The 16045-nt window shown below is 38.3% G+C and overlaps 2 protein-coding genes across 6 annotated transcripts in view, besides 4 other annotated features; one reads left to right on the top strand and one right to left on the bottom strand.

Moving 5' to 3' along the window:
* The window catches only part of PPME1 (protein phosphatase methylesterase 1), an 83415-nt gene extending 81440 nt beyond the window's left edge, over positions 1-1975 (bottom strand). For all 4 annotated transcript variants that reach the window (NM_001271593.2, NM_016147.3, XM_047427116.1 and 1 more), the window contains exon 1: positions 1742-1975. In NM_001271593.2, coding sequence (NP_001258522.1) covers positions 1742-1842 — 101 coding nt within the window. In that variant the 5' untranslated portion in view covers positions 1843-1975. The remainder of the gene's footprint in view (positions 1-1741) is intronic.
* Positions 1181-2103: an enhancer, noted in NCBI's record as "H3K27ac hESC enhancer chr11:73882206-73883128 (GRCh37/hg19 assembly coordinates)". NCBI's record gives its function as "activates a minimal SCP1, AML or CMV promoter by ChIP-STARR-seq in primed H9 embryonic stem cells {active_cell/tissue: H9 hESC(primed)}" and the evidence as "EXISTENCE:reporter gene assay evidence [ECO:0000049][PMID:30033119]".
* Positions 1181-3027: a biological region, named in NCBI's record as "H3K27ac hESC enhancers GRCh37_chr11:73881282-73882205 and GRCh37_chr11:73882206-73883128".
* Positions 1881-2330: an enhancer, noted in NCBI's record as "active region_5251". NCBI's record gives its function as "activates an Ori minimal core promoter by ATAC-STARR-seq in GM12878 lymphoblastoid cells {active_cell/tissue: GM12878}" and the evidence as "EXISTENCE:reporter gene assay evidence [ECO:0000049][PMID:35858748]".
* Positions 2104-3027: an enhancer, noted in NCBI's record as "H3K27ac hESC enhancer chr11:73881282-73882205 (GRCh37/hg19 assembly coordinates)". NCBI's record gives its function as "activates a minimal SCP1, AML or CMV promoter by ChIP-STARR-seq in primed H9 embryonic stem cells {active_cell/tissue: H9 hESC(primed)}" and the evidence as "EXISTENCE:reporter gene assay evidence [ECO:0000049][PMID:30033119]".
* C2CD3 (C2 domain containing 3 centriole elongation regulator) overlaps positions 2262-16045 on the top strand; it is a 158285-nt gene continuing 144501 nt past the window's right edge. For both annotated transcript variants that reach the window (NM_001286577.2, NM_015531.6), the window contains exons 1-3: positions 2262-2526; positions 4651-4920; positions 11708-11865. In NM_001286577.2, coding sequence (NP_001273506.1) covers positions 2472-2526; positions 4651-4920; positions 11708-11865 — 483 coding nt within the window. In that variant the 5' untranslated portion in view covers positions 2262-2471. The remainder of the gene's footprint in view (positions 2527-4650; positions 4921-11707; positions 11866-16045) is intronic.

Raw genomic sequence — 16045 nt, 5'->3', positions numbered from 1 at the left:
TTAATGTTACATTAATATTAAACTCCAGGTTAGTTTTCCCAAATAATGTTATGGGTCAGTTTCCAAATTCTCTTTATTCATGTTATAGTCCAACTTTTCTGTCTTCCAAAGCCAAAACAATCTTCACTTTACCTTCTATGTAGCCTTCTACCTCTATTGTGCGTCTATCTCTCTATCTCCTCCTGCTAAAGTTTTCTCATTTTTCTACTGCGTATCATAGCAGGTCTCCACTCAATTCTTAGTTTCCTTCCCTGGTTTTTCCACCCATTTTTCCCATTCCTTTACCCCACTGTTTTATAGGATTCTCCTTTCTTTTCATCCCTAGGACTTACTGTCACAGTACTGCATCTCCTACTCTCGCCTCCTTTTTGATAAGTTTTTACACATATTACTTCTTCAGAACCTAAGGTTTCTCTTCTGTAGTCCTTTTTCAAAGAATATCTACCAATTCATCTCTAGAATCCCAAATATACTCTGGAGCCCTCATACCTAAGTATCTTTCCTACTCCTTTTCTCTTTACAGTCACTAATTCCCAGAATCCTGTTTGAAACTACAAATATCCCCTCAAAACCAAATGCCTATTCAATTCTCTCCACTTTCCAGCAATTACTTCTCCCATGTTCACCTCATTCTTTCTCCTCGGCCCAAGTATCCCCTAACCTGGCACAAGCCATTTAACGATCTAAAATTCCAAAACCTATCTCTTCTACATGGCTCTCCTTCCTTTCCAGCAAACTATTTCTCGAACTCCCAATGCTTCACTAATTCAAAGTCTTAGGCCAGTACGTCGCTTCCCTCAGATCTACTAGCCCAGCAAAAACTGATTGCCCAAATCTTCCTCTAAGCTTCCCAGACCTTACAACTGCAGCACTTCCATTCACCAAACCGTATTTATAGTCATCTCTCAATCTTTAGAGCCTATGGTCACTCTGTAAATTCTTCAGTTCTCTCCTTCTTCTCTCTCCCTTATCCTGTCCAGCTTCTCACTCTGTAAATTCTTCAGTCCTCTCCTTCTTCTCTCTCCCTTATCCTGTCCAGCTTCTCAGCACATTCCTACTACCCTTAACAATCTTCGTGGCTATGTTCTCCACCTTACCTTAGGCCTACTCCCTAAACTTTCTCATTCTCCCTTAAGAGACCTAATCTCACCTCTCATTCGCTGAATCTGTCTTTACACCTCTGGGAATTCTCTAGAATCGTCTGCTTCCTAGTTCTCCTCTTTCCTTCTCCAGCCCTGTCTCGAGTGTTTTCTACCCCCCTCAGCTTTTCTAGTATCTAGTTCTCACAGTGCAGATATTAGAACTCTGATAATATCTACTCCTCCCAAACCTTTCCTTAGTTGTTGGCCCAATTCCCCTCAACTTTTCTCTCAGTCATTCCCCACTTCCCTCCACCTTCCCTGGCCGATTCTCCTCCACCTTTGTCACCGTTCTACTCCCTTTTCTAAGCCTCCTTTATTGTGGAAGTGATTCTCAGATCCCTTATGTTAGTCTCTCAGCTTCCCCAACCTTTGCCTCATTCCCCTCTCCCTTCAACAACGTTATTTTTCCTCCAATTTCTATTGACTTGGCGCCTCCCCTAGTACCCCAATCTGCCTTCTACTCCATCTAAATATCTCCAGGCCGCCAACATTTTCTCCTATCAGTAGACTCCTTTCCCGTGCCTCTATGAACGCCCAGAGATACCATTCTCCAACGGCTGGGGCCTGGCCCATAGGGAGAAGGGGTATGGGTCACGTACCCCATTCGCATCTTGGCTCCGCTCTGACTGCCCCCGCTGCCGGGTAGAGGTGGGCGAGAGGGAAGGCGGCCGAGGTGCATGCTCTTTTCGAGGGCCGACATCGAGGGGAGGCTGCACGCACGTAGTCAAACAGTAGGCGAAGCTTCGTCCCACGTTGAGTGTGGCCCAACCGGTCACGACTCGCTCCCCTAACGACGCCCTGTCGCCTTTGGACAGCACCCAGCTACCCGTAGCACCGCCTACCGCCCACCGGCTCCGTAAACTCCACCCACTCGCTTCAGCGCTTCCACCGGAAGTGCGCAACAGCACTCATACAAAGGAAGCTGGGTAACAGAGTATGAGAACTCCGCAGACTCCCGGCTGGGAACCCGACGACTTTCACCGGAAGGAGGAGCGCTCTTCAGGGCAATGCACCCTGCGCAATGGAGTCCACAAAGGGCGCATCCCTATGCGCTTGCGCAGCTGGAGGCGCCCCCCAGCCAACCCCGGAGAGGTATTGTAGCAAAGCGTCCTGGGTATTGTAGTGTATTGGAGGGAAGGCGTCTTGGCGCCTTCTCTTCGCACCGTTTTCCGGAGACTGTTAGAGGAAGAGTCGCTTTTTCCTGCCTCCCAGGCTGCCCAGCGGCGCCGGTTGCCGGGGAACGCAGGCGCCGTGGGGAGGGATGGCGGGAGGATACTGCTTAGGTGCTGGAGACGGAGTTGAGCTGGTGAAGAAGAGCTCGGGCTCATCATGAAACAACGAAAAGGCCAAGGGTCTGGGGGCAGCCGTGGGCGCAAAAAAAGAGGTAACCTGAGCGATCAAAGATTGAGGAAAGCGTAATAGGAGAGCAGGGTGTAAGGAATTTTAGGGAGACCCGCACCCCCGCTGGATAAACAAGAAAAGGGACGTAAGAAGGAAGTAGCCAGGGAACCAGAAGGTTAAAAGGAAGGGCAATTGGCCCTCCAGAGAATAGAAAGGAATTAGGGGCTGGGGTAGGGGCCACAGACAGGCGATTAATGAGATGAAGGTTACCGGTAGGATGACTGTAGAGGAGAAGAACAAACAATGATGGGATTGGTTTTGATAACGAAGTGAAATGTATGTGTGTGTGTAGCTTTCGAGGTCCACAGGGACAGGAAGAAACATAAATTGGCAAAGGGATTATATCATTTGTTGTGTGATTGTGGGCAAGAATCACGTTTTATACATTACTGAATGACCAAGGATTAGTACAAAGCAGGACTCGGTAAATGTTAGTTGAATGAATGAAGTATGAAGGGCTGACTATGAGCAGGAGTTGGGAAAAATAATTGTAGAGTATAGAGCCGGGAAGAGTGGGGAATGACAGGTGTGATAGGATTGGAGTGGGGGTAAGGGCATGACGATCTCCTGAAGGACCTGAGATCATGAAAGAGTGTGCAGCAGAGAGTCCTCATCAGGTTAGCAGCTCAAGGAGACACAAGCTCACCGAGTAGGGGATGTTAGCTGCAGTGAGAACAGTCAACCTAGGAACCCAGGGCAGATCAGGAAACTTGACATTGAATCTCTACAAGACTGCCTCGAAGGGAAAAAGGACAGTGGGTGACCCTGCCTTTTTGCATTGTAGGCAGTTTAGCGAGAAAAGAAGTATTGGGAACAGTGATAGGACATTAGGCCATTGGGTTGAGGACTGAAGCTACAATCTGGGAATTACTCTTATCCAAGCTGTTTAAAGATTACTAAGGCAGTTTTGAGATACTGACTTTCCTGCCAGGAAAGATAGGAGGATCTGAGACTGAAGCATACTAGTGCTCCCTGTGTCAAAACAGTTAAGCATGTTTGGTTGATAATCGGAAAGTCAAAGTAGAAATAATATAACATAGCATAGAACAGAATACACTTTTTGCTATACCATTTCCATATGTAGAAATGTATACACAACTGTGTATAATTTTTATGTTGAAACTATCCATAAGGATTATGGTGGGTCTTTTCTCCACTATAGAGGGCAGAGGCGGTGTTTGCATTAGAAGTCCAAATAATTAGTCCTGATCTGATACATTCCATATATTTTCTTCTTTGAGGCATAACCACTCCTCAAAGAAAAGTCAAAGGAAAAAAAAGGTATAAATAATATAGGAATGGTTTCTTAAATCTCCTTTAAGTTTTCCCGAAAAGGTACTATGAATGAAAGACAATCAGGGTCATTAAAGGAAAATTTTTTAGAAAGTCATGATTAATTGCTTTGTTTACACTTTAATGTCTTTATGAAACCCAATAAATACTAAAGCCAATAAATATATGAACCCAGCACTGTGTTAAAAATAGTGGCAGAATCTGAAGATTAGATAGTCTGTGTCCTCACTGACTGTGTGATCTTGGCAGGAAAGAAAAGTTACAATTTAAGACGTTCTTCATTGAAATGCTGAGTTGTATGATATAGTCTAAATCGTTTGTGAGTGAAGGGAGTTGTTGCTGTTTTATCGTTAGTGATTTTTTTAAAAGAGAGTTAGATAAAGATTACATATCTTAAAAACCATAGATGTTGCAATAATTAAAACAACTGTACTTAGAAAAATTTCAACCATACTTAGAAAAATGTCAACTACTTCTGATATTTGTATTTTTCAAATAGTAACTCAACTAAAGAAAAGTTTATATTAGTGTGTCTTTGTTGGTATGTTCTTAACTTAGAGTAAATCAAATCAAACCTTAAATACTAATTAGTTATCAGAGTGGCTTACATGACCAGATAGATTATTCGGTGGTCTGATTTGATAGTTACTTCTCATGTATTAGAATAATGGGTAGGATAAACCTTCTTTCTAAGTGGTGATAAATTGCTGAACTTAAGACTAAAGTGTTCTGTTTGTTTTCATTCAAAAAGCATATTATATGTTTTCTATATTTAGTCTAAATTTTGACTCAGTTTTCTTGGATTCCTCTACAGGTTTAAGTGACATTTCTCCATCTACAAGCCTGCCACCTCTGGTTGAAGGCCAGCTACGCTGTTTTCTAAAACTTACTGTTAATAGAGTCATATGGAAGATTGCAAAGCCTCCCACTTGTGTACTTGTCCGAGTGAGATGGTGGGGAGAAACATCAGATGGAACCCTCTTTTGTCCCAGGGATGCATTGCAGACTGAACCAAAAGCTGTGAGAACAACTACACGTTACGCTATTCGTTGTGGTCCAAAACAGTTTACCTCTTATCTAACAGGTATGTTATTGTTTTATCATTGCACCTGCAGACGTAATACAAAGCATGTGGTTATATTGTCAGCAATAAGTGTTGTTGTGTACCTAGCATATATGGGCATTCTTAATTATTGAAGAGTCAAAGAGTTTTTATAGTAGACATTTTTCTTTGTAAATTTATTGAGTGTTACTGTGTGCCAGCAGTTTTGAAATGTATTACTTCTAATCCTTACAATAACCCTGAAAGATAGGTATTTTCTCTGTTTTATAGACAATTAAACAAGTTGGAGAGATGAAATGAATACTTTCTAAGGTCACAAAGTTGATAAATGGCTGAATTAGGATTTGAACCCACTTCTGTCTGTCACCAAAACTCATGCTCTTTTCACTACACCATGCTTTTTTAGGTAATAACTGTAGTCTCAACTCTGGGGTTTACATTATACTCAAGGAAAGAGGATATAGATGTAAAATTTACCAATAGTACAAGATAATACATACTAAATGCTAAATGAATGGTTTAGTGAGTTAGTATTACAGATGTTCAGAAATGGAAAGCATCCCTCTGTAGGGAACCAGAAGCCAAGATGTCTTCATTTTTGTACAAGAAAAGTATTCTGAGTGTACTATGTTACTTCTTTATTCAGGTCAAGCTTTCACATAAATACATTTTGGATGATGGGGTTATTTATCAAGTCAATTCAGTTCAAGTCAATAAAATTCGAGCATTTATCATGTAAACATGGTTGGGCTCAGAATATTGGAGAGCCAGGGGTGAGTTAAGATTAACTTGTCCTTGAGTAACTTACATTCTCTCGAGAAAAAATTTTTGAAACATCAACATGTAAAGAACAAATGCTGTAATTCAGTCATTCAAAAAATATGTTTAGCACATACTACACATTGTTTTAGGCACCATGGGGTTTACAAAAAATCCAAAAAATTAATAAGAATGATCCCGAACTCTAACTTCACAAAAAAGTTTAGTTATTAATAGTAGGTTAAAAGCAGTAAGTGCGATTAAAAGATATAAATAATCTTGGTACTGTAAGCTTAAAAATTAAATCCTCAGGTAGTATTTTTATATAATATAACAAATGAGGAGTGATTAGAAATTCAATAAGAGAGAAGGTATTTATTAACATGGTAATCAACAGGTCAGACATTTATTTGAACATCTTATGGTATATTGGTGCATTGGACTTGGCATCCGAACATTTACATTGGTGTTACCAACTACATGATTTTAGGAAAGTCTCTTCCCATATCTGATTCCTGTTTCCCCATCTGTAAAATGGGATCATATAGTTGCCCTTCCATTTTCTAGATATTTGCACAAAGAAGCAACCCGGTTGAACGGGTTGACATCTAGACAGTCTAGAGTTTGAACTCTGGCTTCAGGACTAGATTGTTAGGTGATGCTGAGAGGTTCCTTAGCATCTCAGGGCCCCAGTTTCCTATTAGTTAGTTGGGAAAAATAGCACTTACCTGTCAGGAATTATTGTGAATACTAAATGAAAAAAATGTTTGTAAAGTGATCGGTCTAGTAGCTGACACATTGTAGGTACAAGTCTTATAAAAATATTAAGACTCAGGCAGCGTGTACAGAGATTTGAGATGTATTCCCTGCCCAAAAGGAACTTAAAGATTAGTTGAAAACAAAACTGACATACATGAAACAGTATTGAGCAATGCCAGACAGTATATAATTAAATGTCTGATTACTTGACACATATAGTAATATCATATGAATATTCTAGGAAGTTAATAAGGGCTAATCTTATGTTATTAAGAAGCCAGAATCCTGCTTCTACTCTATGCTCTTGCTGTTTGACTTTGAGCAAGCCATTTCATCTTCTTGGGCCTTAATTTTCCCACCAGTAAATTGAAAGAGTTAAAACATCAAATGTGCCAGCACCCAAATTTCATAATTCTAGTTAAGAAAGAAGGCCATGGAAAAGGTAGAATTTCAATAGGAGACACATGAGGTGAACCTTATAAGTGACAGTCCAACTGTAGACATGACATGGTTTTTTTTTTTTTTTTTTTAAGACGGAGTCTCACTCTGTTGCCCAGGCTGGAGTGCAGTGGCGCAATCTTGGCTCACTGCAAGCTCCGCCTCCCACTTCCTGGGTTCACGCCATTCTCCTGCCTCAGCCTCCTGAGTAGCTGGGACTACAGGTGCCCGCCACGACACCCAGCTAATTTTTTATATTTTTAGTAGAGATGGGGTTTCACCGTGTTAGCCAGGATGGTCTCAATCTCCTGATCTCACGATCTGCTCGCCTCAGCCTCCCAAAGTGCTGGGATTACAGGTGTGAGCCACCGCACCCGGCCGACATGATGTGTTTTTTAGAAAATGAAGCGATAAGAGGCTGAACGTGGTGGCTCACGCCTGTAATCCCAATACTTTGGTGGCTGAGGCAGGAAGATCACTTGAGGCCAAGAGTTCAAGACCAGCCTGGGTAAAACCCTGTTTCTACAAAAAAATTAGATTCCACATGCATAGCAAGACCCTGTTTCTACAAAAAAAAATTTTTTTAATTAGCTGGGCATGGTGGTGCACACCTGTAGTCCCAGCTACTTGGGAGGCTGAGGTGAGAGAAATCACTTGAGCCCAGGAAGTCGAGGCTGCAGTGAGCCATGTTCATGCCGCTGTACTCCAGCCTGGGTGACAGAGTGAGACCCTGTTTCTAAAAAAGAAAGAAAATGACAGAAAATGAAGAGATAAGACATCAAATATTAGTTCACAAAAGTATGTGCTCTAACCAAAAACTTGGAAAAAGTATGCTATTTCTTAAGCTGTGTGGTAGGTATTCGCATTATTATTATTTTATTTACTCTTTTGTGTACATATTTCACTTAATACAAAATGCAAAAAGTAAACTAATTAATATGTTGTCACATATTAGCATGAACCATATTTTTTTCTCAAGCCATTTTTATTACACTTAAGGTATTAAGACAAGTGCAAAATAACCTTGTAATTAGGATACTGTATCAGTCAAAAAAGGAGAAGTCACTATTGCATGAAGAGATTTACAAATGAGTGAAATATATAGGCTGTGCCAGAATTAACATTTGAAATGAGATGGGGTTGCTCTTTTTTTCTAGGCTGGAGAGAGGTAGTAAGAACGATTATATGAGTTCCTCAGATAAAAATAACATATAAAAAAAGAAGAGGAAATGTATCACATTTTACAATTTTTGAAATACTTTCAAGTCTATCATCTTATTTGATGTTTAAAATCATTTTATTTATTTCTTCGTATCTATTTTATTTTATTTTATTTTTGAGAAAAGGTCTCTCTCAGACAGCCGGGCTGGAGTGCAGCGATGCAAACACAGTTCACTGTAGCCTCAACCTCCTGGGTTCAAGCAATCTTCCCACCTCAGCCTCCTGAGCAACTGGGAATATAAGCACATGCCACGACACTCACCTAATTTTTGTATTTTTTGTGGAGATGAGGTCTCATTGTTGTTCCCCAGGCTGGTGTCAAACTTCCATACCCAAGCAATCCTCCTGCCTTGGCCTCCCAAAGTGCTGGGATTACAGGTGAGCCACCATGCCTGGCCACTTTCTTCATATCTATTTTACCTTATTCTAAACAGAAGTTAAGGCAATTGCAAAAACATGTTAAGTACAGATTTCTGTTTAACTAATGAGAAAACCTTTACATTTTAAATCTTCATAACTTTTTGTTTACAGAAAGTGAAAATACAGTAGGAGAAATAAGATGAAGCCTCTGCAGAGCACTAGAAAGCATGCTCTGAGGCCCTGTACATTTGCAACGGGTATTATCCTGATTTTCTGAGTGACGAATTTGAGGTTCAAAGAGTTAAAAGTAACTAACCCAAGGTTACCCTGGCACCAACCCTAAATTCAGGGAGGCACTTGACTCCGAAATTATTGATACTTCTATTGTATTATACTGCCTTAGGAAATAGAAGGATTATAGGATTCTGAGATATGCCTCATACTCTTACATCTTTCTTCCTTTACGTTTTATTCTGTTGCAGAAAATAGCAGCCATGAAAATGTTTGGAGCATGGAACTACTAGAGTAGAAACTGAGAAAATTATGGCTACACTACGTGATTTTTACCTGTCTTTGATCAGATAGGATTCAGTTAGTAGGAATGTGAAAGACAAATCGGAGTAGGAATAGTGCTGGACAGTAGGGATTCTAATTCCACAACAAGTGAAGTATAAAGGTCAGAAGTCTACTAAGAATTAAGCTTTTTGTCCTAGAAGTGATGAATAGTGTAGTGGACTTATAATTAAGTGTAGTGGACTTATAATTGGATAGAACTGAGTTTTAGCCCAGTTCTGTCAATTTAAAGCTGGGTGAACCTAGGAATATACATGACTTTGCGGAGCCTCTTTTATCCCCAAATGAAGACAGAAACACCAGTATCGTAGAGTTGTTAAGAGAATTAATGAGATGTGGAAGACCCTGGCTGTTAGTAAATAGCCAATGAATACATGTTAGTCCATTTCCCTTATTCTTCATGTGTACATCATTTTATAGTCTACAAAGCACTTTTATATCTATTTGCTCATATGACTTTCAGATAACCCCCATGAGTGGTGTATTAGTCCATTCTCATGCTGCTATAAAGACATACCTGAAACTGGGTAATTTATAAAGAAAAGATGTTTAATTGACTCACAGTTCCACATGGCTGGGGAGGCCTCAGGAAACTTACAATCATGGCAGAAGGGGAAGCAAACACGTCCTTCACATGGCAGCAGGAGAGAGAAAAATGAGTGCCCAGCAAAGCAGGAAGCCCCTTATAAAACCATCAGATCTCGTGAGAGCTAACTCACTATCATGAGAACAGGATAAGGAGAACCGCACTTGTGATTCAGTTATCTCCCCCGGTCCTTCCCATGACACATGGGGATTATGGGAATTACAATTCAAGATGAGATTTGGATGGGGACACAGCCAAACCATATCAAGTTGTTACACAGGGACTATGATATGTCAAGTAATTTGCCTAAAGTCATTTACCAACCATTCAGCAACTACCATGTGGGAAGACACTGGACTGTACTAGTGTTCTGCTTGCAGCAACCCCAGTTCCTCAGAACAGCAGTGATGCGAATATTATGAGCCTACTTTACAGACAACCATGGCTTATACAGAAATAGCTTGTGAATATTGCAGTCAGAACACAATCACAAGTCTTCTAATAATAATTCCTACATGCTTTTCACTACAGTATTAACAAATGCTGAAAACGAACCATTTTCTCAACTTTGGTTAAGAAAATACCAGAAGTTAAACTGTTCTGAAATGATCTGAGATTCCTTATGCATACATTATATTTCTTCTCCTCTGGGCATGAAGGTATTAGTCTAAGTGACCAAAGAGTATAGTTGAGAAGTTTATTTTCATTTCTCTTGGTTCCAAGTGCTCTCAATAGCTCAGTGGTCCAGATATAACCCAAGAGTATGCAATTAGATACTCCTGGGAGGCAGGGACCAACCCTTGCAGCTGTGCAAGGGCAATCCTTTGTCAATTCAAAACTAGAAATGGTGAGAATGAAAACTGAGATTTGTTGCTCTGTGTGTCAAAACCAAAGCCTGAGTTATTGGCAAATACATTTAACAATACTCTTTTAAGGGTATTTTTCTTATCAAATACTTGCTATGCTAAATATTTTTGGTCAGTTGATTTATTTTTTCCTCAGTGTGTGGTATTTGTTGTTGTTCTGTGAATCTTTATTGTTCTTTTGATCTTGGGTTCATACTCCTCTACCCCCAGAATGGTATGATAAGTGATTATTTGAAATTAAAATACTTTTTTAAGTTAAATTACTTTTTCCAGATAGTTTTGTTATCTCTGTTATAGTTTTTAAATCAGTTGTATTTTCTATCAGTTGTGTCACTTTTTTCATTAGGAAATACATGCACATGGTAAAACATTTTAAAGGTATGAAAGGTTACCAGTCTCTTGTGTATCTTTACACAAGAATATATTTACTTATAAAATAAATTCTATACTAATAAAAGCTCTTTGCATAATTTCTTTTATTTACACAGATTATATACATATACAGTCAGCACTTTTTTTTCTACTTAGCAATTCATCTTGGATGTTGTTCCATATCAGTATAGAGCTACTTATATTCTTTTTATTACTTTATTTTTCACCATTTTGCCATTATTAAAAAAACACATTTTATTAAATATTCTGGTACATAGATCAATTTACAGCTTGTAAAATAAAGTTTAAGGAGTAGGCTAGCCTTGGTGCCTCATACTTGTAATCCCAGTACTTTGGGAGGCCAAGATCAGGGGATCACTTGAGGCCAGGAGTTTGAGACCAGCCTGGGCAACACAGTGAGACCTTGTCTCTACAAAAATAAAAAAAATTACCCCAGTGTGGTGGCGTGTGCCTCTAGTCTCAGCTACTTGTGAGGCTAGGATGGGAGAATCACTTGAGTCCTGGAGTTCGAGGTTGCAGTGAACTATGATTGTGCCAGTGCACTCCAGCCTGGGCGACAGAGACCCTGTCTCAAGAAAAAAAAAAAAAAAAAAAAAGTAGAACTTCATGGAAAAAGGAATGTGCTTTTGTACTTTTTTGAGTTATTGCTGAATTGCTTTCCAGTTAACCATCCTATTAGCAACTTATTAAAGTACCTAATTCCCCTCACTTTCACCAATGCAATGGTGTTATCCAACATAAAATATTTTTTTTCAAGTTAGAAAGCTTTTCCGCATATACCCCTCTACCCACGTCTTAAAAAAGAAAATAAAAGTAAATGAAAAATATCCATGTTGTAATTGTTTCTGGTTAGATATGGCTGTGCTGGTGCTGGAAGTAATCACCAAACTTGATGGTCTTCCAATTGGTAGAGTTCAGATCAATGGACTAGCTCAACTTTCTCCAACCCATCAAATCAATGGATTTTTTACCATTGTTTCATCAACGTCTAAGAAACTTGGAGAACTCCAGGTAAAAATATATTTTAATTATTTGCTGCATAAAATAAACTTTTTGGGCAGAAATAGTTGAGTCTGTTTGTAGAATGGATAGGTCCATGGCTCCTGTATATCATGCTAATTTCCACCTCATGCCTTTGCCCATGTTTTTACCCAGTAGACCTACTTTTGTTTCCCACTTATCCAAATCCTCTTAGTGCCTTAGTGCCATCTCAAGTTCCGAGAGTCCTTCACACCTCCTACAGCATTCATTCTTCTTGTACTCTTTTTTACATTCATAAAAGCATTAATTAATCATTGTACAGTTATAATTCTACATAGTTTCCAAAATTGTTTATTAGTAGGCTCTCTTTAATTCCTCTTCGTTTTAGTTTCTAGATTCCCTGAGAGGCAAGCCTTTGTTTTCTCTTTTCTTTGTTTTTCACATAGCTCATAATATAGTACTGAACAATAATTGCTTGTTTGACTCATGTAAGTGGTATCTTTGATGTATTCATTTATTGATTCAGCTTACTTTGTAAATTTTATTTCTAATTGACGCGTGATACACATATTTTTAGAGTACAATGTGAGGTTTAGATACATATATACATTGTGTAAGGATCAAATCAGGGTAATTAGCATATCCATCATCTCAAACATGTATTATTTTTCTTTGTGGTGAGAACATTCACAGTCCTCTCTTCTGGCTATTTTGAAATATACAGTTCATTATTGTTAACTGTATTCACCCAACTGTACAATAGAACACCAGAATTTATTCCTCCTAACGGTACGATAGTACCCATTGACCAACCTCTCTCCATCCTCCCTCCCTGCTACCTTCCCTAATCTTTGTTAACTACTATTCTGCTCTACTTGTATGAGATCTACTTTCTTTAGATTCTATCTGAGTGAGATTATGCAGTATAATATTTGTCCTTCTGTGCCTGGCTTATTTCATTTAACATAATGTCCTCCAGGTTCATCCATGTTGTCACAAATAGCAGGATTTCATTCTTTTTTATTGTAAATAGTATTCCATCGTGTATATATACATTTTTTAAATCCATTGATTTGTTGATGAATGCTTAGGTTGATTCCACATCTTGGCTATTGTGAATAGTGCTGTGATAAACAGAGTATAGGTATCTCATTGACATACTGATTTTATTTCCTTTGAATATACAGTCATGCATTACTAATGATGGGGATATATTTTGAGAAATGTGTCCTCAGGCAATTTCATCCTTGTGCGAACGTCAGTGTACTGACACAAGCCTAAATGGTATAGCCTACTATACACCTAGGCTTAGGGTATAGCCTATTGCTCCTAGGGTACAAACCTATATAGCATGTTACTATACTGAATACTGTTGTAACACAATGAAGGCAGTTATAACACAATGGTAAGAATTTGTGTATCTAAGCATATCTAAACAAAGAAAAAGTACATAAAAATAACAGTATAAAAGTTAAAAGATATCAGTATAGAAGATAAAATAACAGTATAAAAGATAAAAGATATATACCTATATAGAGCAGTTATGGATAGAGCTTACAGGACTAGAAGTTGCTCTGGGTGAGTCAGTGAGTGAGTGGTGAGTGAATGTGAAGGCCTAGGACATTACCATGTACTACTGTACTGTAGACTTTATAAACACTGTACACTTAGAAGACTACACTAAATTTACAAAACAATCTTGTTCTTTAATAATAAATTAACCTTAGCTTACTTTAACTTTTTTTACTTTATAAACTTTTAATTTTTTTTTAACTTTTTGACTTTTGTAATAACAATTAAAACACAAACACATTTTACAGGTATGCAAAAATTTTTTATATCCCTATTCTATAAGCTTTTTTCTATTTTCATTTTTTTTTAACTCTTTAAACATTTTTGTTAAAAACTTAGACACAAACACACACATTAGCCTAAGCCTACACAGGGTCAGGATCATCACTATCACTGTCTTCCACCTCCATATCTTGTTCCACTGGAAGGTCTTAGGGTCAGTCACACACATGGAGCTGTCATCTCCTATGATAACAGTGCCTTCTTCTGGAATACCTCCTGAGGACCTGCCTGAGGCTGTTGTACAGTTAACTTTGTTTTAATAAGTAGAAGGACTACACTCTAAAACAAAAAGAAAAAGTATAATATAGTAAATTGTAAACCAGTAACATAGTTGTTTATTATCATTATCAAGTATTATGTATCATACATAATTGTATGTGCTATACTGGCAGTGCAGGTTTGTTTACATCAGCATCGCCACAAACATAGAGTAATGCATTGCACTACCACATTACAACACTATAGTCACTAGGCGATAGGAATTTTTCAACCTTATTATAATCTTATGGGACCACTGTCGTATATGTGGTCTGTCATTGATGGAAATGTTGTTACCTGGTGCATGACTATAAAGCAAGTAGTGAGATTCCTGGATCATATGGTAGTTCTACTTTTAATTTTTGTGAGGAACCTTCATACTGTTGACCATAATGATTGTACTAATTGACATTCCCACCAACAATACATGAGTATCCCTTTCTCCACATCCTCACCATCATTTGTTACTTTTTGTCTTTTTTGATAATAGCTATTCTAACTGGAGTGAGACGATATCTCATTGTCGTTTTGATTTGCCTTTCCATAATCATAGTGATGTTGAGCATTTTTTCTTTTTTCTTTCTTTTTTTTTTTGAGACGAAGTTTTGCTCTTGTTGTACAGGTTGGAGTGCAATGGCGCCATCTCGGCTCCCCACAACCTCCGCCTCCCGGGTTCAAGTGATTCTCCTGCCTCAGCCTCCTGAGTAGCTGGGATTACAGGCATGCACCAACACGCCTGGCTAGTTTTGTATTTTTAGTAGAGACAGGGTTTCACCATGTTGGCCAGGCTGGTCTCGAACTCCTGACCTCGGGTGATCCGCCCGCCTTGGCCTCCCAAAGTGCTGGGATTATAGATGTGAGCCACCACGCCCAGCCCTGTTGAGCATTTTTTCATATGCCTATTAACCATTTGCATGTCTTCTTTTAAGAAATGTCTATTCAAGTTTTATGTTCATTATTTAATTAAAAAAATGTTTTGTTGCTGTTAAATTGTTAGAGTTTCTTATATATTCTGGATATTAACTCTTGTCAGATGCCAAGTTTGCAAATATTTTCTCCCACTCAGTGGGTTGTCCCTTTGCTGTGTTGATTGTTTCCTTTGTTGTGCAGAGCTTTTTAGTTTGATGTACTCCCATTTGTCTATTTTTGCTTTGTTGCTTGTGCTTTTGAGGTCTTACCCAAAAAATCCTTGCCTGGACCAATGTCATGAAGCATTTCCCCTATGTTTTCTTCTAGTCGTTTTATAGTCCTAGATCTTACATTTAAGTCTAGTCCACTTTTAGCTTATTTTTATGTATGATGAGAGGAGTCTACTCTTATTCTCCTGCATGTGGGTATTCAGTTTTCCAGCACTATTTATTGAAGATATCAACTTATGTTTTCTTCATATACTGTTACATGCCACTAACTTGGGATATACAGAGATAAGAGATGGCCCTTTCATTTAATTTTCCAGAACCCTGTGTAATACATACTGTGTGATAGATATGCATGAGATACTAGGAAAGAACATAGAATGGTCCCTCTTCTGTGGGGGGCTCATTGGGAGCACTTTCTAGAAAATTCTGAATATTCAAACCCCTTAGAAATTCCAGGAGGGTTATACTTTGTCAATTGTATTCTAAAATGTATAGAGAAAATTAAATACTAAATAAGAAAATAGTCTAAAAAGGATAAGGAAAAAACATCTAACATTACCAAATGTAAGAATTTATTAATATTATAAAATCATAAGCATATAATTTTGTCAGTGGAACAGATTCCAGAAATAGATCCATCTAACTGAAAAAAAACTTAACATTTATTGTTTTTATCCTATTCTCATTTATAATATATTAAATGTTAAAATAGTGACACTTTATATTGATGACTTAAGGGTGAAGTGAGTCTGGTTTAGTCATGCTTTTCTGTTGATGATATAAATTTGCATCAGCACTGCCAGACAGTTTGGCATTATGTTTCAAAAGCCACATGAATTACTGTATATCGTTTACCTCATTATTCCACCCCTGGGAATTTACCTTAAGTAAATACTATGAAAAGAGAAGGAAGCTATATGCTTCAGTCTAGTATTGGAAATACATTTTTAATATTGGGA

This window comes from Homo sapiens, chromosome 11 (assembly GCF_000001405.40).
Source record: "Homo sapiens chromosome 11, GRCh38.p14 Primary Assembly".
NCBI classification, from domain to species: Eukaryota; Metazoa; Chordata; class Mammalia; order Primates; family Hominidae; genus Homo; species Homo sapiens.
This window is presented reverse-complemented; position numbering and strand designations above follow the sequence as displayed.